The 27,192-nt window shown below is 43.0% G+C and overlaps 1 protein-coding gene and 1 long non-coding RNA gene across 4 annotated transcripts, besides 1 other annotated feature; one reads left to right on the top strand and one right to left on the bottom strand.

The window, feature by feature from the left end:
- On the bottom strand, positions 1-26,751 carry MAB21L3 (mab-21 like 3). Of its 2 annotated transcripts, NM_152367.3 has the most exons (8): positions 26,640-26,751; positions 26,340-26,521; positions 25,487-25,743; positions 17,078-17,218; positions 13,793-14,084; positions 10,506-10,684; positions 9,811-10,005; positions 1-5,018 (listed from the first exon to the last, which is right to left on the bottom strand). In NM_152367.3, exons 3-8 carry the CDS (start codon positions 25,532-25,534, stop codon positions 4,785-4,787), a joined length of 1,089 nt encoding a protein of 362 aa, NP_689580.2. In that variant the 5' UTR covers positions 25,535-25,743; positions 26,340-26,521; positions 26,640-26,751; the 3' UTR covers positions 1-4,784. The 2 variants fall into 2 exon arrangements, with proteins under 2 accessions (NP_689580.2, XP_047300779.1); XM_047444823.1 differs by having other exon boundaries at positions 26,340-26,751.
- LOC105378918 (uncharacterized) lies at positions 13,989-16,830 on the top strand. Of its 2 annotated transcripts, none has more exons than XR_947726.2 (3): positions 13,989-14,476; positions 15,935-16,019; positions 16,792-16,830. It is a non-coding gene; the product is annotated as an uncharacterized LOC105378918 (long non-coding RNA). The 2 variants fall into 2 exon arrangements; XR_947725.2 differs by having other exon boundaries at positions 13,989-14,555.
- Positions 21,829-21,978: an enhancer, noted in NCBI's record as "active region_1556". NCBI's record gives its function as "activates an Ori minimal core promoter by ATAC-STARR-seq in GM12878 lymphoblastoid cells {active_cell/tissue: GM12878}" and the evidence as "EXISTENCE:reporter gene assay evidence [ECO:0000049][PMID:35858748]".
- Positions 26,752-27,192: the final 441 nt, after the last annotated feature.

Below are 27,192 nucleotides of genomic sequence, written 5' to 3'. Positions count from 1 at the left end.
TTTGGTTACAGTACTTTTTTTTTTTAATCATACTTTAAGTTTTAGGGTACATGTGCACAATGTGCAGGTTAGTTACATATGTATACATGTGCCATGCTGGTGCGCTGCACCCACTAACTCGTCATCTAGCATTAGGTATATCTCCCAATGCTATCCCTCCCCCCTCCCCCCACCCCACAACAGTCCCCAGAGTGTGATGTTACCCTTAATGTGTCCATGTGTTCTCATTGTTCAATTCCCACCTATGAGTGAGAATATGCAGTGTTTGGTTTTTTGTTCTTGCGATAGTTTACTGAGAATGATGATTTCCAATTTCACCCATGTCCCTACAAAGGACATGAACTCATCATTTTTTATGGCTGCATAGTATTCCATGGTGTATATGTGCCACATTTTCTTAATCCACTCTATCATTGTTGGATATTTGGGTTGGTTCCAAGTCTGCTATTGTGAATAATGCCGCAATAAACATACGTGTGCATGTGTCTTTATAGCAGCATGATTTATAGTCCTTTGGGTATATACCCAGTAATGGGATGGCTGGGTCAAATGGTATTTCTAGTTCTAGATCCCTGAGGAATCGCCACACTGACTTCCATAATGGTTGAACTAGTTTACAGTCCCACCAACAGTGTAAAAGTTTTCCTATTTCTCCACATCCTCTCCAGCACCTGTTGTTTCCTGACTTTTTAATGATTGCCATTCTAACTGGTGTGAGATGGTATCTCACTGTGGTTTTGATTTGCATTTCTCTGATGGCCAGTGATGATGAGCATTTTTCATGTGATTTTTGGCTGCATAAATGTCTTCTTTTGAGAAGTGTCTGTTCATGTCCTTCACCCACTTTTTGTTGGGGTTGTTTGTTTTTTTCTTGTAAATTTGTTTGAGTTCATTGTAGATTCTGGATATTAGCCCTTTGTCAGATGAGTAGGTTGTGAAAATTTTCTCCCATTTTGTAGGTTGCCTGTTCACTCTGATGGTAGTTTCTTTTGCTGTGCAGAAGCTCTTTAGTTTAATTAGATCCCATTTGTCAATTTTGGCTTTTGTTGCCATTGCTTTTGGTGTTTTAGACATGAAGTCCTTGCCCATGCCTATGTCCTGAATGGTAATGCCTAGGTTTTCTTCTAGGGTTTTTATGGTTTTAGGTCTAACGTTTAAGTCTTTAATCCATCTTGAATTAATTTTTGTATAAGGTGTAAGGAAGGGATCCAGTTTCAGCTTTCTACATATGGCTAGCCAGTTTTCCCAGCACCATTTATTAAATAGGGAATCCTTTCCCCATTGCTTGTTTTTCTCAGGTTTGTCAAAGATCAGATAGTTGTAGATATGCGGCGTTATTTCTGAGGGCTCTGTTCTGTTCCATTGATCTATATCCCTGTTTTGGTACCAGTACCATGCTGTTTTGGTTACTGTAGCCTTGTAGTATAGTTTGAAGTCAGGTAGTGTGATGCCTCCAGCTTTGTTCTTTTGGCTTAGAATTGACTTGGCAATGCAGGCTCTTTTTTGGTTCCATATGAACTTTAAAGTAGTTTTTTCCAATTCTGTGAAGAAAGTCATTGGTAGCTTGATGGGGATGGCATTGAATCTGTAAATTACCTTGGGCAGTCTGGCCATTTTGACGATATTGATTCTTCCTACCCATGAGCATGGAATGTTCTTCCATTTGTTTGTATCCTCTTTTATTTCATTGAGCAGTGGTTTGTAGTTCTCCTTGAAGAGGTCCTTCACGTCCCTTGTAAGTTGGATTCCTAAGTATTTTATTCTCTTTGAAGCAATTGTGAATGGGAGTTCACTCATGATTTGGCTCTCTGTCTGTTATTGGTGTATAAGAATGCTTGTGATTTTTGTACTTTGATTTTGTATCCTGAGACTTTGCTGAAGTTGCTTATCAGCTTAAGGAGATTTTGGGCTGAGACAATGGGGTTTTCTAGATATACAATCATGTTGTCTGCAAACAGGGACAATTTGACTTCCTCTTTTCCTAATTGAATACCCTTTATTTCCTTCTCCTGCCTAATTGCCCTGGCCAGAACTTCCAACACTATGTTGAATAGGAGTGGTGAGAGAGGGCATCCCTGTCTTGTGCCAGTTTTCAAAGGGAATGCTTCCAGTTTTTGCCCATTCAGTATGATATTGCCTGTGGGTTTGTCATAGATAGCTCTTATTATTTTGAAATACGTCCCATCAATACCTAATTTATTGAGAGTTTTTAGCATGAAGGTTGTTGAATTTTGTCAAAGGCCTTTTCTGCATCTATTGAGATAATCATGTGGTTTTTGTCTTTGGTTCTGTTTATATGCTGGATTACATTTATTGATTTGCGTATATTGAACCAGCCTTGCATCCCAGGGATGAAGCCCACTTGATCATGGTGGATAAGCTTTTTGATGTGCTGCTGGATTCGGTTTGCCAGAATTTTACTGAGGATTTTTGCATCAATGTTCAACAAGGATATTGGTCTAAAATTCTCTTTTTTAGTTGTGTCTCTGCCCGGCTTTGGTATCAGGATGATGCTGGCCTCATAAAATGAGTTAGGGAGGATTCCCTCTTTTTCAATTGATTGGAATAGTTTCAGAAGGAATGGTACTAGTTCCTCCTTGTACCTCTGGTAGAATTCGGCTGTGAATCCATCTGGTCCTGGACTCTTTTTGGTTGGTAAGCTATTGATTATTGCCACAATTTCAGATCCTGTTATTGGTCTATTCAGAGATTCAACTTCTTCCTGGTTTAGTCTTGGGAGAGTGTATGTGTTGAGGAATTTATCCATTTCTTCTAGATTTTCTAGTTTATTTGCGTAGAGGAGTTTGTAGTATTCTCTGATGGTAGTTTGTATTTCTGTGGGATCGGTGGTGATATCCCCTTTATCATTTTTTATTGCATCTATTTGATTCTTCTCTCTTTTTTTCTTTATTAGTCTTGCTAGCAGTCTATCAATTTTGTTGATCCTTTCAAAAAACCAGCTCCTGGATCTATTAATTTTTTGAAGGGTTTTTTGTGTCTCTATTTCCTTCAGTTCTGCTCTGATTTTAGTTATTTCTTGCCTTCTGCTAGCTTTTGAATGTGTTTGCTCTTGCTTTTCTAGTTCTTTTAATTGTGATGTTAGGGTGTCAATTTTGGATCTTTCCTGCCGTTTACAGTACTTTTGAAAAGTAATCATTTTCATTTTCAAATGTGAATTTTCATGAAAACAAAATCAGTAGTTCATGCTTTAGAAATTTATCTTTGGTATAGACATTTGGGCAAAAACATTCAAAAGTAATAAAGGAGCCCCTTGAGTTGAGAAGCATTACATAAACGCCAGAAAAAAACCATTGATCTCACCGAGAACTCCTAGAATTCCTGATCGGTTGTGCCACACAGAATATGTTGCCTTGTGGGCCTCTGTGAAATTCCAAATGGGTGGCTCAAGAGCACTCAGTGCCCAGCTCCTGTGTGAGTCCCCAGACCTTCTTCATGCAGTTACCAGAACAATTGTTTAAAATGCAGTCAGATCGTGATACTCTTCTGCTTCTGGAGAGGCCAAATGTCACACCTTTGATCTTAGAATAAAATACTGATTCCTTCCTGGCTTTACAAGGCCAGGTGCTCTGACTCATGCCAGCCCCACCATGCCTGCCTTTGGTCACTTTTCCTTCCCCTTCAGCTATTTGCATTTTCATCCTTCGGGGACCTTTCTGTGGACTCTACTTCAACATTCTGTTTATTTCCTTTGAAGCACTTGCTTCCATCTGTAATAACTGTGCGTGTTTATCTGTCGTTCATTTCTTGTCTCCACCATTAGGTGGCATCCCCAGGGGGAGGTCCTCATCCACTTTGCTCTTTGCTGTGTTCCCGGTGCCTAATGAGCATTATTTGTCAATGAGTGAGTGAGTGAATGAAGTGAGCAAAGGAACACACTGAGCAGTGACAGACACCTAAGGTCACTCCATGCAGATCATAGTACTAGGTTATTTACATAAATATATAAGGAAGTTCCATCCATGGCCCATGGCATGGGAAGCAAAGAGAGGGCTATGGTTGGGATCAGGCCAAGAGTTGTACTTTCATCTTTGACTTACACTTATCATCAAAACCATTCCCCTCCCTGCTTAGAGAATACCAGCGAAGCAGACAGAACATCAGGAGCCACTGACCCACATGCTAAGGAAGCTGGAGGGCAGCAAGGAAGCACAGGCTCACTAACTCATCAGGTGCAATTTTGCGTCAGTGCTGTGGGTACCGATCCAGGATGCAAACACCAGCTACTCAACCAACCAGGAACACTTTGTGTTGATCCAATGCCTTCCCCTTGAAAAGGCGCCAGCACAGTTTCATAGGCACACAGCCCTGCTCAGAGGTAGGCACGTTAACATTCCCATTTTACAAATGGCAGGAGAATGTGCCCATGATCAGTGGGCTGGGCACAGTATTGGCCAGCAGGCTCATGTCCAGACTTCCAGGGGTTCTGTCTCCATCTTCACTGTGAGACGATCACAGCCTGAACAAGGGAAACTAAGTTCAGAACTGTCACCAGTTCCAAATCTGTGCCTGGGGAAGCCTGATGAGAGCTGTCTCCAGGAGAATTAGCTAGGGCAGAAATGCTTGCTGGGCTCCAGGGAGGCCTGGGCCAGACATCCTGGGGCACAGTTTTCCCCCTGCTGAAGTGTTTCTGGTTTGATGTAATTTCCGCTGCCATTCGTGGCCTTTCTCCTAGGCAGGATCCTGGCACCTGACTGAGGAACCATCCAAAGAACAATGTTAAGCCAGAATAAAATGTCCAAGAGCCTCCCAGGCCGGGGCAACCATCAGGGCGGGCCGATCTGGGGGTTCTTCAGGAAGGTGGCCAGCTTTTGGGCCACAGTGTCCAGTTCAGTCGGGTTGGTGCACTGAAAGAGGTTGCTGTTCCGGACGAAATAGTGTTTCAGGAAGTGCTGGCTCACGCACTTGTGCAGTTTCCTCACCAGGCGCAGAAATGCTTTGCTGAAGACCTGCCAGTCTTTAAAGTGGGGATATTTCTCGCAGGTCCAAAAGAGCACAGTCTGTGGAAGGGAGAAGTGCTGTCAGACATTGTTTCGGGCAATTGAGGAGGATAGCTTGGAAACAATTATTGAGCTTATGTGGCCTTGGAAGGAGGGAGAAAAGAGTTGCCTGGGCAGACTGGATCTACCATGAATTCACAATCCCCAACTTCAGGTGGGCCTTCAGTTTACCAGCTGGTCTCCCGCACCTCTTCCCTAATCTATTCCCTCACTCTCCTCCAACATTTCCAATGTTCACTAATCCAGGCAATGTCTTTGCCTCCTACTTTACGGGGAAAATGGAACCCCTCATCCTCCCAAACCAGACAGATCTTGCCTACTGCGGCACCCACCTCTCTTCCTCCCTGCTTCTGCCTCTTCTGCCTGTGGGGCTGATCCCTCCACAGGGCCCTGGATCCCATCTTCCAGGAACTGTATATGACTGATTACCCTCTTCCTCAACTGCTTTTCACAAGTTGAGAGCTCTCCTGCAACCCCAACCCCACATCTGCCTCCTGCCCTCACTCTTCCCTCTGCAAATCCAGGCTTCTCTGGAGAGTCGGCTCTATTATTTGTGGTCATTTCCTCTCCTCCCATTTCTTGCCTCAGTCTGCTCCAATATGGATTCTTCTCTCATTAATCCTCAAAGGCTCCTCTCGTCAAGGCCCAGTGATCTCCACTTTTCTAAATCTAATAGGCCTTTGTCAGCCTGCACCTTACCTGACCTTTCAGCAGACCTGGTTCTCTCGCCCACACCCTCCCTCCTGAGCCATCCTTCACTTGACTTCCAAGCAATCTGCTCTCTGGGTTTTTTCTCCTAGCATTACAGCGCCTCCCTGGCAGGCTTTTACTCCTTGGCCTGCCTTTGAGAAGTGGAGTTTCTGGAGGCTCAATTCTAGGCCCTCTTCTCCTCTCAGTCTACATTCATTCCTCAGCTCTATGTTGCCTCCACCACAGCAGCTCTAATTCTCACTACATATGAATGACTTGCAAATTTGTGTCTCCAGCCCAGACTTCTCCTCTGACCTGCTTATCGTGTATCTCTTGAGTATCTGAAAGTTATCTCAGTCCCAACATGCCCAAACTGAACCCCTGCTCTTCCTGCACAAACCTGATCTGCCTCCAGAGTTGCTTAACTAGCTAGTTGTGCAACACGAAAACCTAGGAGTCGCCCTTCTCCCTTACCGTCCCCAGTCAAGTCCTGTAATCCTCTTGTCTAAGTATTTCTCGAGTCTACCCATTTACCTTCACCTCCAGTATTATTCTACCATCCCCCTCCACACTGCCTCCACATCTCACTGGACCTCTGCAGTAGCGATCTCATCAGCCCATCCCTGTTCTTGCCACCATCCAAATTATCACCATCCATACTGCTGCCAATATACATCTACTTCCCTTCTCATCTAAAATACTTCAAGGTCCCATCCTGGCTAACACGGTGAAACCCCATCTCTACTAAAAATACAAAAAATTAGCCAGGCGTGGTGGCGGGTGCCTGTAGTCCCAGCTACTTGGGAGGCTAAGGCAGGAGAATGGCGTGAACCCAGAAGGTGGAGCTTGCAGTGAGCCAAGATCATGCCGCTGCACTCCAGCCTGGGCAACAAAGCGAGACTCCGTCTCAAAAACAAAAAAAAAATTAATAAAATAAAATACTTCAAGGTCTTCCCATTGTTTGTTAGCTAAAAACATCATCCTTAATGTGGTGTGGTTTATAAGGTTTGGTCCCTGCCTTCCTTTCCAGACTCATCTTGACCTGTGTCCTCCCTTGCTCTCTTCATGTAGCCACACCAGCCATTTCATGCTCCCTTCTACCACAGAGCCTTTGCACATCCTGCTTCGGCTGCATAGGGCACACTTCTTTCCCTTCTTTGTCCATCAGATCAAATTTCCCTAGTACACCCATTGCACACTCTCTTAGTCATGTACTTCTCATAAGAAGCAGCGACAACAGTAGTAGTTTTTATATTTATGTGATTAATTTTATCATTTCCCCTACTGGATTATAAACTTTATGAGAGCAGTGAATGATGCCTATTTTTATTCACTATTAAGCTACCCAGTACCCAGCAAAGGCTAGCCCATGAGAGGAAGTTAATAAACATTTATTGAATAAGTGAATTAATGAATTATCCATTAATGTTATGGTTTAGATATTGGGTTATTTTTATACAGTCTTTATTTTTTAGAGCAGTTGTAAGTTCATAGCAACTATGTATTTAGATTACGTTATTATGAATAAATGAGTTAGAGATAATTTCATGCAAGCGAAGATAACCTAGATACCAGAAAAAATGTTAATTCCTCTTGTTAATTAAGCTTTTATCTCCCTAAGCAAACTGGGGCAGTTAAGCTCATTATAAGCAAGCCAATGTATTTTGAGTGGGTTTTAGGAATAAATAAGGCAATAAAAGATAAGCTTTTGCTTCACATGAAATAGTCTTGGGGCAGAGCCTTTTTGGGGAGAAGGTGAGGGCCTTGTAAGAGAGTGTCAGACTTAAGGTGAGGCAAGGCTGAGTGCCACAGCTTCCTAATGCTGTTTTGCAACCCAACCTCTTCCACTTTCCTCAAAATGAAGATTTGGCAAGGATCCAGCACACTCAAGTCATCATCTGGGATGGTGTCTAGCACCACATTTATCACCAGCCACATTCATTTCAAGGGCAGGGATGCCTAAATGGGAGATAATTCTGTCTGTGGACTAAGGATGGAAGACCAGAGAAAAAGGCAGTTAGCACTTTCTGTTTATCTTACTCCAGAAATAGCCCACTTAAAAAAAATGCCCATCCTTGAGGATGCCCTATTGTGCCACACAGGTGGGTCAGGGAGGATTGAAACAGAGAATCCTTAAGGAGTTGCCTTAAAATCCACCAGGTGACTTAGGAGCCATCAGAATAGAAGTCAGCCCTTGTGGGGAGTACAGATTTGCAAGCAGCCATGGCTGGGAGATCCATGGTGGCCCCATTCAATCCTGCCTGAAATATTCATGTCACCGAATGGTATTTCCATCCATCTTAATTGAGAGGTAATGAAGTCAATCGTTAAGGTTATGAGGTTTTGATATGAGATAGACTTGAGTTTGCGTCTCAGCTCTGCCTCTTCTAGTGTGGCCTGTATAAAGGAAAGCAAGAGAAGCTAAATCCACAGAAAGAATCAAAGTATCTTCTGCAAGCACATGCCCTCCATCCAGGAGAACAGCCTGCGTGTTTTTAGGGAAGTGTGCTTGGGACACGTTGAGAATGTTGGAACTCCAGAGAAAAGCCCCAGTGCATGTGAATGAGATGTTAACAGATTCTTCCGCAGGTCAAAATGGACAGGTTATTGGAAAGATAAGAAGGTGAAGCAAGGTTAGTGATTTTGTGCGAAAAAAAGAGAAAAGTTGAGTAAGATGTGAAGCCACTCATTCATTTGCTCAACAAATATTTAATGCGCTACTATGTACAAAGCATTGGGAGAGATAATGGGGGTTTTGTTCACCTTCTCCCAATGAATAAGAACATCGAGTTAGGTCAGCATGCCAGCTGGACAAGATCAATGTGGTATCTGTCCTTCAATAAGTTACTTTAGAGCAGACAGAGTAACATGGGGCTGGAAGACAGTTTTGTCCATCGAATGAGAGAAGGAAGAGGTATGTGAGGAAGGCACCTCACAGATAGGTGACTGCCCCAGGGACTTGTGCTTACCTGAGTAGAAAGGGAGTCCATCCTTTCTGGGGCCAGGGAGGAGGGCTGAAGCTAGGCTTCACAGCCCACACTAGCTAGGCTGGGCTGGGGTGTCCTGCAAGAGTCTCCTACCTCCCTACTCCAGCAGGCTGCACAGAGCTGCTACATGAGAGTACACTTCACTCTGTGTGGTTCACAATTTGAGAAAGAGGGAGTCGGGAGGGTGGTCAAAGGCCCCCTCTCCAGGGAGGCCCCCTGACTGCCCAGTCCAGGTCAGGCTCTGCTGCTCTGAGCCTTCACAGAGCCATACTCCTCCCTTTCCAGTGCTTCCTCACTGTGTGATTGTACACGCACCCACTGGCTTGCCTGACCCATGTCTATCTCCCATGCTAGACCAGAAGTGCCATGAGTGAGGAAACACATCTGTGTCTGTTCACCTTTGTGCCTGCAGAGGTTGAGCCCACAGCAGGTACTGGGGCAGGCCTCTGGCCCAGAGTAATCTCAATAAACACTTGCTGAATGAGTGAGTGAAGGCATGAATGAATGTGTACTGTTGGGTTTAGGGCAAGGAGAGGCAGGGGCTGGCAGAGCAAGGGAAGATCCTTGCCTGGTGATTTGGACCCTGGAAAGAAGTGTGTGGCACTACGTGTGTGGTAACCTCTGTGTTGCATTTCCTGGTCCCCTCTGTGTTAGTGGGTCTGTGTGCATGAGGAGGTGTGCGTAGGCTGCAGTGGGTTTAAAGACTGGCGCAAACATAAAGCCATCAAAGTGTGAGGCACAAACCACATTTTGTGATTCATTTCTGAACCTCAGCAGGGTTTCTGGCACCTAGTGAGCACTCAGGTTGGTTTGGTGGGTAAAATAAAAGTGAGAGGGGAGGAAAAGTGGGATAGAAGAGAATTGGAAAAGGGAAGGGAGGGAGGAAATTTTACCCTGGGCAGGGGTGTTGTGGACTCCCATATGGTGCTAGTTTACATATTTCCATAATACGTAGTAATTTGTTGGATGGCAAATATAGATACTAGAACCTCATCCTGAATTTTTCACACATGCTACCCCTTCTGAGTGGCTCTGGCCAGGCCCTACAGAGGCCACAGGAAGAATGACCTATCCAAAGCTGCCCCTGGGTCTTCTCCAACCTGCCCCACACTCACCTGCAGATGGTGGGACGTGATAACCGGCCTGTTCCCTGGGCACCAGATGTCCTCCTTCAGGTGCCTCATGACCTGAAAACACTTCCTACGGCAGCCCCCATCTTCATCCAGCTGTTCCAGTAACACCTGCTCAGCACGGAGGAAGCTCAGCTGCCAGTGATAATTTGAACAGGCCAACAAGTTAAATCCAAACGACTGGAAGAAAGAGAAAAATATTGGGAAATAAGAAGAACAATGCTCACTGGTGTAGAAAGCCATTTCTGAAGCAGTCTGCTGGTCTGGGGAACTTGTCACCAGGCAGACAGCACATCCTACGTGGGGATGAGAAGGGGGTGCCAGGGAGACCACAAGCCACCTTGGATGTGGACAGTTAGAAGATGGTGCCCACTTCCTCTCCTACAGCAGTTCTCCAACTTGAGCATACATCAGAATCACATCACCCAGAGGGCTTCTTAAAACACAGATTGCTGGGCCCTGTTCACAGGGTCTCATTCAGCAGGTCCAGAGTGGGGGCTCGGGAAGCTGCATTTCTAACAAGTTCTCAGGTGACGCTGCTGCAGGGCCCACACTTTGAGAACTGCTGATCTAGTAACACCTCAACTTTCCTTCGGAAACTCATTGGCAGTCAGTAATGCTGTGACTGGTTAAGCTGTTGGCATCACTGCTCTGGCAAGCTGGGTCCCGCCCACTGATACCTTGATGCACTCCACTCTCTCTTGGGAAGGCCAGCGCTGCAGACATCGAGGCCACCGGGCTTTCTTGGACCAGGTGGTGGGGATCTCCACTGCGGGGACCAGCTCCAGTTCCACCTGATATGCAGATGTTTCCACAGCAACCCAAACTGCAGAGCGGTTTCCTAGCAGGCTGACCTTACCTGGTGGGAAATGACCAAATGGATAAGGAGAAGAGAAAGGTTTGCACATTACAAGCGTTCAAACAAGAAATTTGTGAGCAGTTGCTCTGACCAGCACCTTGCAACTGGTGTGGCAACTTTCACAATGTCTGTAGCACGTGAAGGATCACAATGCCTGTAGCACGTCAAGGTTTTGACATCAAAACCAGATGGTTAGTCAGCTAGCCAGCATCGGAACATTACTAAGAAGTCTCATTGCTGGTGAGTTTTTCTTTCTCCCCCAACCCCAAGGCATTTGGGGTACCTTTTCTTTTAAATTAATAGATTCTTTTCAGGAGGATCAACTGAAAGTAAAAGCCATAGAATAAAAAGAAAAAGTGTAGTATAGATGCTCCTTGACTTACGATGAGGTCACATCCTGATGAAGCTGAAAATATTCTAAGTTGAAAATGTATTAATACACCGAACCTACCAAACATCATAGCTTAGCCTACCCTACCTTAAAAGTGCTCAGAACACTTACATTAACTTACAGTTGGGCAAAATCATCTAACACAAAGCCTATTTTATAATAAAGTGTTGAATATCTCATGGAATTCATTGAATGGTTGTATGGGTACTCGAAGTATGGGTTCTACTAAACATGTATCACTTTCGCACCCTTGTAAAGTAAAAAAATCATATGTTGAGCCATGGCAAGTTGGGGAACTTCTGTATTTGCTACTGTAAAAATGAAACCTAACTATTTTTCTATATCCTTCTCCATTCCACCCAAATATCTAAATGTTGGTTTTCAGAGTAATGCAAACATAGGGAAGGCTAATGCCATTTTTTTTCCCTCTTCACCTAGATATTCTGACACTGGTTAGGGACAGCATCAGCCTCCTTATTTATGCATATGCCTTTGGTGAAATTTGGCTTCACCTTTCTTTTATCTGAGCCTCAGTCTCTTAGATGGTATTTGTTTTTACCATCCATTCAGCCAGCCGAGCCTCAGAGGTATCTATCATCAGAAACCCCTGTAACCACAAAATACATCAAAGCACGTCACAGCCACTGTTTCAGAGGATTGAGTGATTTGAAAGAAGTCTCCATTGCCTCGTTTTCCAACCAGGCAAAGAGAAGAAGAGAAAACTAACGCATCTAGTAGTTTTCCAGCTCACATACTATAATTTCCTCATTTCCAATTTGCTCCTTCTTCTTTCAAAAGGTACAGTTTTTGTTTGTTTGCCTTCATTGCAGATAAAGATAAGCAGTCTTGAATAGATCAGGATCTATTCATCCTTATTTGCTCATCCCAATTCTTGAAATAGATTGGAATCTATTATTTTGCATTTCCTTGCACAGAGAAGAAAATGGAAGCACATTAATTGTGTTAGGCTGTTCAAAAGGGAAACATTCCCTGGCCAGGGTGGGATAAAGGGCTTGTCTGCATCTCATCAGAGCTGCCCAGACAGGAACATGACAACTGGCACTTTAGCATTATTTACTAAAAGCGCCTCATAAACCTTGCCCATTCTGAATCTCTGCTTTGCACTTTCACCATGAATAATGTCGCACAGCATAAGAGGTGAGCCGATGCTGCAGCCAGCCTGCCGGCCCACACCCTGCCGGCCCACACCCTGCCCTGCAGCTGGCTCTGCTTATGAGGTGTGTGAACTTCAGAAGTGACTTAATCTCTCTAAGTCTCAGTTTCCTCATCTCTAAAACAGGTAGGAAAAGAATTCTTACTGTATTGTGTGGTTATGAGGATTAAATTAAATAACCCATGAAACTTATTCTACTTAGTAAAAAAATCTATTAAACATAAACTATTACCATTATGGAAATTTTCAGAACTATTCTGTCTAGACAAACAAATGTATGTATGAATACATCCTTTTATTTTCACACAGATGGAATCTCATATTGTTTAGCAGTTTGGTTTTTCACTTAACTATTTAGCACATGCATTTTTCATAGCTCTGTATGTATGCATGGGCATATGCCTGTTCTTTTTAAAGGCTGCATAGTAGTCCAGTAGGCAGAGATAGCATAATTTAATTTAGCCAATTTTCCTTTGTTAGCCATTTAGATTACTTCTAGCTATTTACTATTATAAAACCTATGGCAGAGAATATCCTGGTGCACAATTCTTTGTGTATTTGTAGAAATATATTTCTAGAACTGGAATTGTTGAATTGTCAAGTAAGCACATTATAAAAATAAAATATAGACAACTTGCCCTTTAAAAAGGAGACACCAATTTACACTTCTAATAACAACATGAGAATACCCATTTCACCATGCCCACTCGACACTAAGCATGATCAAACTTTTCATTTCTTTTAGCTTGCTAGGTATTTTAATGCACCCAACATTAGGTATATTCTAATATACGTTGAAATATACATTAGATGGAATGCCTTTTCTTATTTTTGCAAGCCATTTGTATTCTTTTTCTGTGATTCCTTTTTTTTTTTTGGTAATTATCTCTATTGGTCAGCTCATCTTTTTTCTTATTGATTTATAAATTAAGAAAATTAGCCATTTCTTTCCAGTTTGAAATTCACCTTTTCGCTTTGTGTGAACAAAAAGGGAGTGTGTGTGTGTGTGTATGTGTGTGTGTGTGTGTGTATGCATATGCTGTACAGTAGCTTAAGACTTTGGAGTTGTCAAACTTAGTCAGTTCTTTATGGCTCCTGGATTTTGTGCTTTGGTACAAGTTAGTGGTTTCCAAATGTGGAATCTCAGCACCCTGTGGTACTGCAGTCAGATGGAGGTGCTGCAGTAGAAATGTGCTAATAAAGAAGACCTGGGGTTTGTGAATAATTTGCTTTTTTAAAAAACAATACGCTTAAGTTTTTAAGCCTGGTTAAGGTGCATAATCCACAGCATTTTATATCTATGCCAGCACAGTAACTTTCTTAAAGCCACAAGACTATTTTGTTAGTATGAATTCCAATCTTCTGTGCATCAACAGCAGGAAAAAAAGCTGATTCATATTATGAAGATTAAATAAATGTGAAGAGCACATGATTATTTTCTCAAATGTAGGCTGTGAGCTGCAGGTAACACCCAAACAGAGGTTTTATAGAGTGAAAGGGGAATGCCAGCAATTACCCTTGCACTTGTTCCTGATCAGCTCACCTGAGAGGTGACAGGTTCTAACTGCATTTTCCACCAGCTTCCGGAACACTAGGAGGACCTTGGCAGGCACAATGTCTCCGTCGATGTTCACATCTGTCTCATGCCACTGCCACAGGCTCTTCATAAACTGTTCCACCTCCAGCCACTGCTGCAGACCCTCAGGGTCCCGCAACGGGCAGGGCAGCCTGGTGCCCTGCAGTGTGTAGTACCGCCAGTGCTGCTCCCTGGCCTCCCTGTACCCGGCCAGGCCTTTTATTGGGACTGTGACGAGGAACTGACTGGGAGCCAAAACCTAGGGTCAGGAAAGGATTGAAAACAAGCATGAATTCACAGATTCGGGAGGTAACGGAAGTCCTGGGAACCAACCTGTCTCGTCAGGCAGCTCTGTTAACCACTCCACCCTCAGCAGAGTGACCAGATACACGGAGACCTCGACCTGGGTGTTACAAGTGGATTACCTCTTTGTTCTGCTACTGAATCATTGTAAATACTTCGGGCAAGTAAATTAACCTGCTGAGTTTATTATCTCATGAATATACAAGTAAAGACAGTGAACTAAACCAGGAACTCCAGAGGAGACCTAAGGTTTGAGAAAGAAGAATGAGTATGCATTCAGTTCCATGCAGACGCAACACCGTAATTCTAATGCATTTGACCATTTCAACTTCACAGTCACACAGTAAGGTGAGCTTTCTTGCCATTTTCCAGATAAGGAATTCAAGATGCAGAGGGGCTTGGAGATCTCCTCAGGGACACACAACCAGTAAGTAGAAGAGTCAGAATTTGAATTTAGGTCTTTGGACAGCTTGTTCAGTTATTATTTCTCTACCCTGGGCTGGCACTCAGCCAACAATGAATGACATGGAATGGTGAATGTTTTGACACAAATTAAAGGTGGGAAGTAACAGGAGGGGACGTAACAGATTTTGTAAAATATCTCCTTTTTTTTTTGGCCTGTACTGATGACCTATGGTCAGTGTTCATGACTAACCCTTCCAAAATAAAGGCAAAATGAAAGCTTATTTGTTGAGACAATGTGAGCTGTTGAGATGATTCTAAGCTTAAAGAAAAAAGCAAACAATCAGAATTTACCTAGCCCCTTTCTCCAGGAACCAGTGAAGCAACGACTGGGGGAAAGCAGGCAGACCGGCAGCCGAGAGGTAGAACAAGTGGGTAAACAGAGCAGCCAAAGGAGCTTGAACTATGACCATGTCCCACTGCATGCACGCCTTCGGCTGTGAGTCAGCTGCCTCCTCCTCCTGGAAAGCTCTGACCATGGAATTTGGTTAACTCTTGCCCAGGGCCAGTCATTGACCCATTGAGTGGGGAAAGCCCTAATCAGCTCCAGCTGGTTCTGTCTAACTCTAAGAAAACAATAGTTTGATGTTTTAGATGATGTATCCACATGACTTCTGGTACCCATAGAAAGGCAGCTGGATTTAAAAAGAGGAAAAACATCTAAAGTCCCTGGAATTTCAGATCTGTACATTATTTCAATTCACTTTCATGTGAATTCAAAAGCACAACTATCATGTTATTAGTCATATAAGTGGTGCTTAGTAGATATTTGTTGAGCAGCTTGGGCAATATGATGAAATCCATCTCTACAAAAAATAAAAATAAAAAAATTAACCAGGCATGGTGGCATTTGCACTTGTAGTCCCAGCTGCTCAGGTGGCTGAGGTGGGAAAATCACTTAAGCCTGGGAGGTTGAGGCTGCAGTGAGCCATGATCGCAGCACTGCACTCCGGCCTGGGTGACAGAATGAGACCCTATCTTTAAAAAACAGGCAAAAAAGCAAAACAAACAAAAACTTGTTGATTTTGATCTAAGTTAAAAGCAATTTTATATGCTATGCTGTAGCTATTTTCAAAACTTAATATGTGAGACATGACATATATAAATGCAAGATATATTTTAAGCTATGAATTCTAAGTGGGACCACTGAAGGAAATTTCCTTGGGTATAGTGCTAAGAAAAGTAATGTAATATCTCTATTTCTAGTCACTGGTCTATGTGTGTCCAAGTTAGATTGGCTTGGGTGGTAGAGTTGGGCAAGTGATATTCTAGCATTCCAGGATTCAGTCTGGTTTTATAATTTTCACCCTGGGATTAATTTCCTACAATCTGAGTCTGTTTCAGAATCCACAAATCCCAGAATCTCTTAGGTGGTTCCTGCGTCCACCAACCTTGAGATGTAATGGGCCAGCAATGGTCTTTTGCTCAGGTACTAATTCTTTTACTCATTCATTTATTCATTCATTCCACATATGTTAAGTGTCTACCATGTGCCACATACCATGCTGGGTGCTAGGAACAAAACGAATAGTAAACTTGGTCCTTACAATCGAGGGATGTGCAGTCTGTTGTGAGAAATGGGCCATGAATACATACAAATTTAATACAAAGTGAAAGAGGTAGGTGGCATAATAAAAATCGAGATAAAGAATAATGGAGATTCAGAATGATTCAGGATCTCACTTCTCTTACCTCTAAAATGGAAATGAACAGATTGTCTTTTCCACAAGGTGGTTTACAGGTTTAAGTAAGGTCGTTTCTCTGTGTACAGCTCTGCCCTCACTACTGTGTTGCCTGAATGCTGGTGTTACCCATTGGCTTACACTGGGTGGGATTCTTTAGCAGGGAGAGGGGTTGCCAGTCTGCTCCTGCAGCTTCTCAGTGGCACCTCTTCTACTTTCTTCCTTCCCCATCTGCAACCCACAGACTGACTTTCAACTGTCTTCTTATGGATGCCCTCAGTTCCCTCCACCCCACCCCCAATCTATTAAGTAGGTGCTTAATAAATGAATGTGTATTTAACTGAGCTTTGATTGTGACAGCGGAATGTGCTTTGGAATCAAAAGCCTCTGTGTGAGTTCTGGCTTTAGTGCCTGATATGACTTGATCAAGTCATTTGACTTCTCTGAGCCTAGTTTTTCTCATCTAGGAATGTGGGGGCTCAAAGGAAATAACATCTATCTTTTTTTCTTTTTCTATAGAGACAGAATCTCACTACATTGCCCAGGCTGGTCTCAAACTCTTGGCCTCAAGCCATCCTCCCACCTTGGCCTCCCAAAGAGCTGGGATTATAGGCATAAGGCACCCTGCTGGCTGAAATGACATGTATAAAATGAGACTGTAAATAGTAAAAACTAAGAATACCTATGAAAACAAGAATTGTTATGAGTATTCTGAGTGAGGCAAGCATCTGTCACACACTGAGATTCACCTGCCCAAGTGTCCTGGCTCTGTTGGTGGCACTTAGAGACAGCAAGACTTGCTTACCTTAATATTTTCATTGTACGTGTCAGAGTAAGGCACAGCTTGAAATCTAATGTCTTGGTTGCTGATGTTTGTGGTCAAATGATGAACGACTTTCTGCACCTCCTCCACAGCCTGGGAAATCTGCTGGCGCCTCAAGTCCACCTGGGTGTGAGAGGGACCAGCAATGGTGGTTATTTCCTCTGTGGGCCCCAAGATACCAGCATAAGAGAGTGAGGAGACAAGGGTACAGCAAGGGGTGACTGAGGGAGTTCAGCTCAAAAATCCTGCCTTCCCAAGATGCCGGGGAGATGAATTTAGGTCTGACTCCATTGAGAAGACACTTGGTGGTGCCTCAATGTTCTTTTCTGTAACAGATGCATTCATTTGATATTTATCTAGGACCTACTATGTAGCAGGTGCCAGGCTGGGTGCTGGGGACACAACAGTGATTAAGACAACAGTGAACAATGTAGATACTTGCCCTCTAGCTGAAAATATAGGAATAAATGTAGATATAATACATACTATATTATATATAATTGTAATGTATAATATCAATATTATAATATATAGTGTCATATCTGATATTATACACACAGACACACATATAAATGTGTATATATATGTATTCCTGTATATATATATGTGTGTGTGTGTGTGTTTGTGTGTGTGTGTGTGTGTGTGTGTGTGTATAATGTAATATCAAGTATGATAAGTCCCATGAAGAAAAATAAAATATGATAAGGGACTAGAGAATAAAGGGGCAGCTATTTTAGTTAGGGTGGGCAATGGACAAAGAAGACTTCTCTAAAGAGGTGACATTTGAGTGAGGCTGAAGACAGCTTAGGAGAGCAGATTCCATGTTCCTCCTCTGACGTAGGCAATGCTCTAAGGCTAGCAGTGAGGCCATTGTGGTTGGATCTGGCAAAAGGAAAGTGATAGGAGGTGAGTTTGGAAAGGAAAGCAGGGACCAGATCATCACACAGGGTTTTGTGAACCATGGTGAGACTCTACCATGGTATTGTCACGCCTGCTGCCCATGGTGTGAATATTAAACCACTTAACTTGTATCAGCACCCAGCAGCCTGCTTCCCACTGATGTCATCAGTAAATGATGGTTCTCTTTGCCTCCGTACTCACCCCTGCCTTTTGCTTCTAGACCCTTAAGAAAAGGCATGTTTCTGCTGACAGAAAGTTACCACAGTGAGTTATGAAGAATTGGGAAATTCTCATAGAAAACTCAACACTAATCAGATACTTAAAGTTTAGGGAAATAGATGTTTGTGGGAAACACAAAGGAACTTTTAGTAAACTCCAGAAGAGACACAGAAAAATCCAAATAAGATACGGAAGGGTCTGCAAGTTTTTTCTGAAATGGAGGGGGCACTTTGTCATCTTGCTCAGGAGGCACCTACAAGCTGCTGTCATGACAGCAAGACTCTCCTTCAGAGGCTCCTTCAGCCAGGGGCCAGTTTCAAGCAATATCTGATACATCTCAATCTAATGCCCATCTATGAATCTTTATACTCTCTCTGAATTTGGTATAATGGCTGTTTCTACATATTCTAGAGTCATTTTGAGACACCCATAAACTGATCACGACAGCCAGAAAAAAAAAGTCCAAGTCAAAGAGATTCCTGTTTTCCTAAACTAAGTCATCAACTAGGCCAGTCACCTGAGACCTCACTCATACTTCTCATCAACCAGCAAGCCAACTTCATATGTTCATAGTATAAGAATGTGACTGTGCACCTATTGTTAGACACGTTGTATATCACATATAGGGTCAGTTCATCAGTAAGTATTTGTTTAGCATGTCCTCTGTGGTGGGCACTGTTACATGCTGGAACACAGCAATGCACAAGATAGACCCGGCCATGCATTCACAGTAGTGAGGAAGACAAATGTAAGCACAGAATACAATTGTGGGATGCTATTATGGGAAAAATAACAAATGACAAAAATAAAGGTTTTAGAAGCCAAAACTTAAGGGTCCTCTCCAGCATAGGACTTCCCATCTGTGTTGTGATTCAATTCCATTTGAGTAATTTGAGTGGAACATCCATTTTATGCTGTGCTTTGTGCATACATGTTGCCACGAGGTTTATAGATAACTTGACAAAGCAAGACAGATGACCTGGAAATTAAAATCACTGCAATCTAGTGCAAGGTAGAGGTTTGCACAGATGCTATGGATACATAGAAAACGGATACTTCATCCAGTTTGGAGGTTGGGAGGCCTTTCTGGAGGCACAGTGTGTTGGAGTTGTATCTTGAAAGCTTACTAGGCGTTAGCTAGGAAAAAGGGGGCATGAAAGTTGTTCTAGAATGAGAAAATAGCAGGTATTGAGCCAGGCCTGAGGCGCACAAAGAGAGAATTTGTGCTCCTCATGCCTGTGCAATTGTTCCTGTGATATTTTTAGAACACAATTGCCCTAGAAGAGGTGGTGAAGTGGGAGAATAAACCGTGAGAGGTCCTGAAAGTAAAGGAAGAATTTCAAGAACAAAGTCAACAGTAAGTGCTTGAGTGAGTTAAGGCCCCCAAATGTCCATGGAGTCTGACAGCTAGAATAGGATTGCTGCATTGGGGGAACACTGGGCACTAGCATTAATGGTGGGGAAGAGGTGCACATTAAATGTGGATTAAGGGTGAATGGAAGAAAACCAAGTGAAGACAGAGGTAAGCAACTCCTCCAAGAATTTTTTTTTTTTTTTGATGGATTCTCGCTCTGTCGCCAGGCTGGAGTGCAGTGGTGTGACCTTGGCTCACTGCAAACTCTGCCTCCTCGGTTCAAGTGATTGTCCTGCCTCAGCCTCCCGAGTAGCTGGGACTACAGGCACGTGCCACCACACCTGGCTAATTTTTGTATTTTTAGTAGAGACGGGGTTTCACCATGTTAGCTAGGATGGTGTCAATCTCCTGACCTCTTGCTGTGCCCACCTTGGCCTCCCAAAGTGCTGGGATTACAGGTGTGAGCCACCGTGCCTGGCCCCAAGAACTTTTACCATGGGGAAAACCAAAACAACAGGGATGCGAACAGTTTTTTTTTTCCTTGCAAAATGACACACAGGTGTAAACATGTTTAAATGCTGAGAGAAAAGAGTCAGTGGTGAAAGAAGAGGTAGCAGAGAGCAAAACCAGTTTGTAAGGATTTCCCACCCAAAAGGAGTCATGCACATCCAGAGGCCTGAGTGAGGAATTCATCTTGGTGTGGCAGAAAGAAAGAAGGGGAAAAGGGTGCATGCAGATACAGATAAAAGGGTAGGGGGCAGTGAAAATCAGAGAGATTTCCAGTCTGACGTCTATGTTCTTTATAGAGTGGGAGATGTTAATGAGCTAAGAGTGAAGTGGAAGGCAAGAGATTTCAGGCGATAGACTGCTGAGATAGCTGCTATAAGGAATGAGAGACTGTTTAGGTGCATGAGTAAAGATAACCAGACAGTGTCAAGACTTGGCTGAGGCTGAGTCCCTGAGGCTGTGGGATATCAGTAAGTTCAGTTAGTGAGATCTGCTCCACCACCTCTTAGCCCTCCAAAGGTAAGAGTTGAGGTGCTAAGATTGGAGTTTGCTGGGCAAGAGATGGATAAAGATAAAAAAGCAACAGAGGGTTTCAGCAGTGGGCTATATCTTCCAGCCGGAATAAAGAACGGATAAAGCTAGTGGTAGAATAGGGAACATTAGGCCACTTCAGGGACCTGAAGTCTGAGCAGGTACAGTGGAGAAAAGTAATAAAAGTGTTAATTAGATAGAACATTGCAGGCAGAGTGGTTGAGAAATAGTATTCTCTAATAGTTAAGTTCTCAGAACGTGTTGAAGGCCAAGACTAGCCTCCTGAATCTGCCAGCCCCACGGATGTAATTCCATAGAACTTGAATGTTAGTAACATAGCAGTGACTATACATATATATATATATATATATATATATATATGTATGTATATTTTGATTCCTGAGTTAATAAACTAATGAAAAATTCATCACCATCAAATCATTTTTAAATAGAAGCTTAAGAGTGTGTGTGCATGTGTGTATGTATGTACATGTGTGTATGTATGCACATAACACACGTGAAGAGTAGCCTATTGGAAAAAGTACTTCATTGTAAATCTATTCTACAAATTGTGCCCTCATTTGATGGTGAAATTCTTACCGAGCAGGACAAGATCACGCACTCCTGGAAAACAACTATAATCTCTCACTTGTTACACAGGTTATTAGTTCACCCTTATGACCTGTTTTGATTACCAAAGGTGAAAGTCAGAATAAGATAATGCTTTTTGAGACCTAGAACCACAAATTCCAGTTTTAATTTTCTTCCTCCATCACTTCTGCTGCAACTTAGATTCAGGATCTTAGAAATGGAAGAGACCTCAGAAATTGCCTCGTCTGGTGTGACTTTATGGAGGACCAGAGTGACAAGGCAGCTTTCCTAACATCACACCGGCAGTTAGATGTAGAATTAGACAGGCTCTCCAACACTTCTTTCCATCACACTTTGCCACACCCTTAAGTACTGATGTACCAGAAGTACGGCCTACCCTTTATCCTCTTCCTGAACCTAAAAATGCCTTCAATTTAAAGTCAAGACTCATGAAATAAGGAGTCCTAGGTCTCCATGTATTTAGGCATCAGCAACTGTTCTGGCATCTAACAAGCACAAAGGGTCATGCAGCAAGGGCCAGACAGTGATGCTCCTGCTGTGGGACCTGAGCAGAAGCCTCTTTCTCTAGGTGGCGGGCAGCCTTGTCCCTCCCCACATCTCTGGCTACACTTCCTGCAATAAGTTCTTACCCACACAGCATCACCGTGCTATTTGGTAGCCCCAGAAGTGATTTGTGCTGGGGGTTTCCAGGCTTAGTGCCAGACACCTCTTGTCACCCTCATGGTGTGACAACACAGAACCCCCAGACTGTTTCTCTCCACTTATTCTGGCCACACCCTAGACAGATACAGCAAGAAGTTCATTTCAGGGTGTGGAAAAGCAGGCAGTGGGGTTGGGGCAGCTGTACAGTGATCTAAAGAAGGAGGCTCTAACACAAGTAGACACCCATTGCAAGCCCAACCCTGGAAATCCTTTACTGCCTCTCAAACTTTAGGAAGCCAGCAAGATACCAGTTGCAGCTTCAAGGCAGCCTTGAGGCAACCTTGTCACCAAACTTAGTTCATGGCAAAACATGGAAACAAATGTTGTTTGGGCCTTGCTCTTCCCAGGCATGTCTCCATGCTGTCAAGGTCCTTGTCCCATCTTGGGCTGCTTTCCCCTCCTCCTCCTTAACCACAGCATCAGGTTCATTGTTGCCCCACAAGTCATTTGCTGCTATTAATAGCTCAAGTTCATGAATAATTTACTGCTTCAAATATAAATTATGGGGATTTAAGGTTATCCCCTATAATAATATCACTCTGACTCACTTGCATTCCGATACGCTTCCTTGCAATGGAGACAGAGTGGTGGTGCTAAGTAGCATGCCAGGAATGTCACACAGGCCTGATCACACCCATGACCATGCAGACTATGTGTATGTCATTCCCAATGAGTGTTACTGAGAAGAAAAGGCTGAGGACTTCCTTCCAGAAAACAAGAAGTCAGACCTTTAATTCCAGAATTGCATGAAATCCAATCATCAGTTAGAAAAATTTCAACAAAACAAAAACTGGCATCATCTCTGTCTTTCAGGGGCTAATAATGTAAAGAAATGGAAAGTTAAATCCAGTGATAGATACGCACGAGACCATAGGCTTTCCACCATCATATCCCTTCCTTTGTAGACTAATTCTTCCATGAATCAAATGCTTGGGTCACGCAGAATATTTGCAGCCCCCAAATGTAGCAGAAGCTGTAGCAGCAGCATTACCGTGAAACTAAGATTATTTAGTCCTTCCTGTGTGCAAGGCATTTTATAAGAGTAGGCTCATTCCTGCCTACCCATCATTCTTTAAGGTGGATGCTATGATTATCCCCATTTTATAGATGAGGAAACCAAAGTTCAGAATATTTAAGTAATTTGCCCAGGTTCCCAAAGTTAGTAAGTTACAGAACACAGGTAGCAGCCTTCCAAAGCCCATATTTGTAACCACTGCCCTGTTCTGCTCCCCAAAAGAAAAAGGTGACTGGGAATGAAATACACCTTGAATGTTTGAACGGGGTTCCCTTAGCCTGGAAGACCTTTCCTATACTTCTCCACTTATTAAAACCCTACACTTCCTCCAAGGCTTTGTCTCTACTCTTCTTTCTGTAAGACACCTTTCCCATCACAACTAATGCACCGTGCTCCTCCAGCAATCTGTTGAAATCTCTACTGCATCCCTTACGGTCTACCATGCATTCTATTAAGCACTTGCCTGACTGCATGTGAAATTCCCTCCTTCTTCCTTTGGGGTTATGTACAAAATCTGCAGATGGGACAGGGCTATCCTAGAGACCAAAACCAAAATTTCTCTTTCATTTAGCAGGCCACATCTCAGGCCTTGGTCTACCCTCAAACCGTAGCACAGTATTTTGCACAAAGCAGGTGCTTAGTATGTGTTTGCAGAGATATAGAGGAGTTTGGCAGAGGACGTTCGGCCTTTGGAGTAAAGAAGACAAGGCTGAAACTTCAGTACCCTCTCAATTTAGCTGTGTAACTTTGGACAAGTTATTTAATCTCCACAAGCCTCTGTTTCCTCCTCTAAAAATGGAGGCAATATGTACATCACATAGTTGTTGATTAGGTTAAATGAGATCCTGTATGCACCTTGACCTGTCGCCTTCCACACCACTCTTGCCTTTAACGAACTCTAAAGATATTTCTGATCATATATGTGCAAGATACTCTGAATGTCAAAGGAAAGAAAGGTATGCAAGACACTGTTCTTCCCTCCAGAAACTTATAAAGAATGAAATGATATGACATGTAAGTTGCCAACCAAGATGATAATAGAAAAGTGTCAGGAGTTAATATACAAACTCATGATCAAATAAATGGTGCCAGTAATACTAATTATAACGGGAGTGAATATGTGGGCAAAATCATTTTGTGCTGGGGTGTCAGGGACTCTTTCTTGAGAAAGTGGACTCTGAGTTTGAAGGATGAATATGAGCCAGAAAAGTGGCGAGGAGGAGCTGGGGCCCTTGGCCTGCTCAGGGCCCAGTTCTTGTTGGGCAGAAATGGGAGACTCAACCACCTACAGGAATGGAGTAGGGGACACACGTGAGAGAGGCAGCGGGGACCAGGAGCAAGTGTCAGACACAGGATCAGCCTCCTGAGAATTGGCCAGCACGTGCTCTGGCTAGCAAACACTCAGCCCCAGCACACAGTTTCCAGGCAAGAAACTGGGACCTGTAGTTGCGAAATATTCTGATTTTTTTCCCCTGGAAAGACAGAAATCTGGATTTCTATGCAAAATCTATTTTGAAATGTTTGTGAAAAACATTAGAAATAATCTACAGGCCAAACAAAACATGAGCACACACTGGATTCAACGTGTCGAACACTGTTTAGGATTTCTGCTATTGGAAATGCAGGGGGAGCGGAGGGTAGAAAGATAGAGCAGTTGAAGTTACTTGAACACCACACTAAAAAGTTTGGAGTTTTTTCTTACAAAAAATACAGGACCCACGAAAAAAATGCCAGCCAATATCTCTTCCACTTAGAGCCCTCAAAGGGAGGAATTAATGGGAAATCACTTTGTTTACTCTAGTTTTTATCATCCCAGGTTTTCCTTATTTATCTCTCTTAATGGTTTTGCCTAAGAAATACATTTTACTTATCACTATGATAATGATCTTCTCTTTCGAACTTGTAAAGGCATGAAAACTGCAGACCAGTGCCTACTTCTTAGTCAATTTAAATATTTTGGTTTTAACATTAACATCATGCCTTAGTAGCTTCATCCGTAAATGAAAAGGCTTAAACTAGGTAATATTTAAGTTTCCTTCAAGTTCTAACATTTGACATGACCATCTAGACCATCTAGAAGAAATTAAGTTCTTAACTGATGTGTACTAAAAATATAATAATATTTAAAAACCTAGTACTTTCACAGTCTTTAAAAAGCTTTGTTTTAATTTCATTAGCTCTTTTTCCATTACCCCATGAAGCTCCTATTATTATTCCCATTTTACAGAGAAGAAGGCCAAGGCTCAGGCAGGTTAAGTGACTCACAACCACACGAGTGTCAGTGGCAGAGCTGGAGTTCCCCCTCATTCCCCAGATTCCTACTCTCCATTCTATATTCTATACTCAGCATGTCTCTGGGTACCAGACCCTCAAAGAGAAGTAAGGCTGATATATGTTAAGCCCCCAAACATTGTTATAGGTGACAGTCTGTTTTCTGAGGAGCATTTTATGTGTCTTTAGAAAGAGCCTGAGATCCTTTCTGGACGAAGGTTTGTTTGGAAGTAGTGTGAATGGGGAGGGGGTTCATGGGAGAGACCGGGTCTGTCCTTACCTTATTCAGTAGGCAATCTTCTAAGTCTCCCACAGTAAGGTATTTCATGGCTTCTTGGTCAGTCCTCAGTAGAACAGCAACTTCCTGGTTTTTTTTTTTTTCTCAATGGAGTGCAACACTTGTGAGTAGATAGCACTCCCAGTAATGTGAGTCTCTGGGTACTAAGTTTTTCTGGAAGTGTGTAATGGACCAGAGACTTGCCTTCCGAACCCTTCACTCATGTTTTTATTTCCAAATTGTGAAAATCCATCTGTCATCTTTTGGGAAATTAAAAAAAAAAGAATTTAAAAAGAAGAGTTGATAAAATTGAATTTGAGTCCAACCTAATCATACCTTAGTTAGCTACATTGACTGGTGCTTTCACCAGAGAGCAATTTTCCAAATTGTATTTCCCACCCAAGTACTTAAAAGTTCCATCCAAGTCAGAAATACCCTGTAGTTGGCTTCTCCCCACCTTTTATGCTCCTGTCCCAACACTAGATGCACCGTGGAACTCAGTATCTTATATCTCCTGGTCCTTATCCTGTTGACAGTAAACACCCCTTGCTCTCCAAGCCAGAAAATCCCACGGATTGATTTACCTTCTTTACAATAAACAAATAGGAAACTGCCCAACAACCAGCCTGACACCCATCATTATGCCCGCAAACAAGTGATCAGGTCTTGTCAGCCAGCGCAGAGCACAACGGTTGGCATTTAGAAAAGCATGCACACACGTACACACAGGCACACACATATACACAGGCACACACGTACACACAGGCACACACATATACACAGGCACACACACGTACACAGAGTGCACACGGGCACACACCCACAGGAATGGCTGGTCAGGAATCCTTCTGCTCACCTGCTGACCTTTAAACGTAATTTCCCTCTTCCAACTTGAAAGCTGGCAGTAAAAATAAAGTCAGTGTAAACAGGTCCCTTTAGAGTCGAGGGAACACTCACGTCTGGTTTTGCCAGCAAAACTTATGTTGGAAAACAGCTCAGGCAGTAAATTCCCAGTTGGGCTGGCTGGGGCTAGTTTTACTACAGAAAAAAAAAAAAAATTTCACAATGGTCTGATCTCCTTGAAGCTGGTAAACATCACGGAGTCTGCTATCAGATAATCTAAAGAAATTACAGCCCTTCTGGGAGCACTACTTACTTTTAAACAATGTTCCAAAGGCAAGTGTTTCCAAGCCCACCTGTAAGTGCTGCCCACAAAGGCCACTGCACTATTTGGGGCCTCAGCGTTTGCATATCTTCCCATACTCTGCCCCAAGCAAAAGCCGCATCAGAGCTCCCTAGCTGCTCTGTGCCCCACCCACGTCATTACCTCCAGCTTTCAGTCCAACTTCTACAGAACTCCTGCCAATGCACAGCCTGATATAAATATTGTAAAGCTACATCCTCTCCAATGACCCTCTGATAGCACCCCTCAAAACAGCCTTGATTTTCCATTTGTTTCTATATGTAATTCTAAATCTCCTTCTTTTGATATCAAGTGCTCCCAAATTTTTCAGAATCTTATTCCCTGGGCTTTTCTTATCATAGTAGTGCCAAACTATTTGTTTTTCACAGACAGCAAGAGCCTCTTTCTCTGAACTTGCAATTTAGAATTCTCTCTCCACCTCATTTTCAACATTACGAAAGTCCCACTGTTTCTCTCATGTGCTCATTTTTGTTGTTACTTCTGCTTTCACTGTAATCATTAACTT

Source organism: Homo sapiens, chromosome 1 (genome assembly GCF_000001405.40).
Source record: "Homo sapiens chromosome 1, GRCh38.p14 Primary Assembly".
Taxonomy (NCBI): Eukaryota; Metazoa; Chordata; class Mammalia; order Primates; family Hominidae; genus Homo; species Homo sapiens.
Note: the sequence above shows the minus strand (reverse complement) of the source record. Positions and strands in the feature narration are given on the sequence as shown.